The following is a 1,712-nucleotide window of genomic DNA, read 5'->3' as shown; positions in this document are numbered from 1 at the left end:
CAAAACTCTGGATCTTCTTTGTTTTGGACTCTACCTACCTCCAAATGACACTTCTGTTTCCTATGAAATGATTAGAATGACAGAGATCCTGAGCACGAAAGAGCAGATACTGTGTGATTCTGTGTATGTCAGGGTGTCAGCTGTGACGCTGCTGACATTTCGGCTCAGCAATTTCTCTGTTGTATGTGTGGGGGTTCCCTGTGCATTTTAGGATCCCTGGATCCCTGGACTCACTGGATGCAGTAACACAACTCCCCCCAAGTACAGACAACCCCCAGTGTCTCCAGATATTGCCTAATGTCCCCAGGGGGCAAAATAGCCCCATCTGAGAACTGCTGCTTTCATAAAGTACAATGTCAGGTGAAATAAGTGGAGGCTGTTTGTAGTCAGGGGTTAGTAGAAATGGAATAGACCCCAGGAATATCCTGGAAGGGGCTGTAATGTTCTGTTTCTTGAATTGGGTGTTGGTAATATGGAGATGTTCAGTTTCTTTTTTTTTTTTTTTTGGCAGGATCTTACTCTGTCACTCAGGCTGGAGCACAGTGGCACCGTCATGGCTCACTGCAGCCTCTGCCTCCTGGGCTCAAGCAGCCCTCCCACCTCAGCCCTCCTGAGTAGCTGGAACTACAGGCATGTGCCATCACTGTTGCCTAATTTTTGTATTTATTTATTTTTTGTAGAGAAGGGGGTCTCACTATGTTGCCCAGGCTGGTCTCGAGCTCCTGGGCTCAAGCAATCTGCTCACCTCGGCCTCCCAAAGTGCTGGGATGGCAGGCATGAGCCACTGCGCCTGGCCAGTATGTTCAGTTTGTAAGAAAAGTACTGTGTTGACCTCTTCTATGTGCACATTTCTTTAAGTAGTAATTCAATAAAGCATTTAGAAAAATTGGTCATAATAGGAGTGATTTGTAGAGTGATTGGCATGAAAGCTGATCACCTTAATTTGAAATACTCTGAAATGAGCACCAGGGGCCACCAAGAGGAACGTTTCAAGGTGTCATAGCCAAGGACAGGAGTGTGTTGTGTACATCTCTGCATAAAGGATTTGCTGGGTACATGGAAGGATGAAGCCTCCTTCTGAGGACACAGGCAGCAAGGCAAGTGGAAGCCCAAAGCATTGAGCTTTCTAAATGGACTTTGCTAAAATCTTGTGGATGACTCATGCTCTTAACATACACCCATGTACATACTGTCCACATAAACATTAATTCTATAACAAGGCCCACACATAAGGGTATTTTTTTCTTTTGAGACAGTCTTGCTTTATTGCCCAGGCTAGAGTACAGTGGCATAATCGTGACTTACTGCAACCTCCACCTCCTGGGTTCAAGCAATGCTTGTGCCTCAGCCCCCCGAGTAGCTGGGAGTACAGGTGCACACCACCATGCCTGGCTAATTTTTGCATTTTTAGTAGAGACAGGGTTTCACCATGTTGGCCAGGCTGGTCTCAAACTCCTGGCCTCTAGTGATCTGCCCACCTCAGCCTCCTAAAGTGTTGGGATTACAGGTGTGAGCCACTGTGTCTGGGCCCACACGTAAGGTTTGAGTTGAGATAGAGAAACTCTGGCAGGACTGAGGAATTTGGCCACAGTCTCTGGGAAATATGCACAATTTCTGGAATCTTCTCTACTTCCAGAGTTCCCACTTTCTATCTGTCTCTTATTTATTCAAAAAACTTGTATGGAACCGCAGTGGGTCTAGAACTTGCCAGG

At 46.3% G+C, this 1,712-nt stretch overlaps 1 long non-coding RNA gene across 1 annotated transcript in view; it reads left to right on the top strand.

Moving 5' to 3' along the window:
• Positions 1–1,712, top strand: part of LOC101927708 (uncharacterized) — a 64,008-nt gene that overhangs the window by 17,368 nt on the left and 44,928 nt on the right. The window lies entirely within an intron of this gene.

The sequence above is a fragment of the Homo sapiens genome, chromosome 11, assembly GCF_000001405.40.
Source record: "Homo sapiens chromosome 11, GRCh38.p14 Primary Assembly".
In the NCBI taxonomy this organism is placed as follows: domain Eukaryota; kingdom Metazoa; phylum Chordata; class Mammalia; order Primates; family Hominidae; genus Homo; species Homo sapiens.
This window is presented reverse-complemented; position numbering and strand designations above follow the sequence as displayed.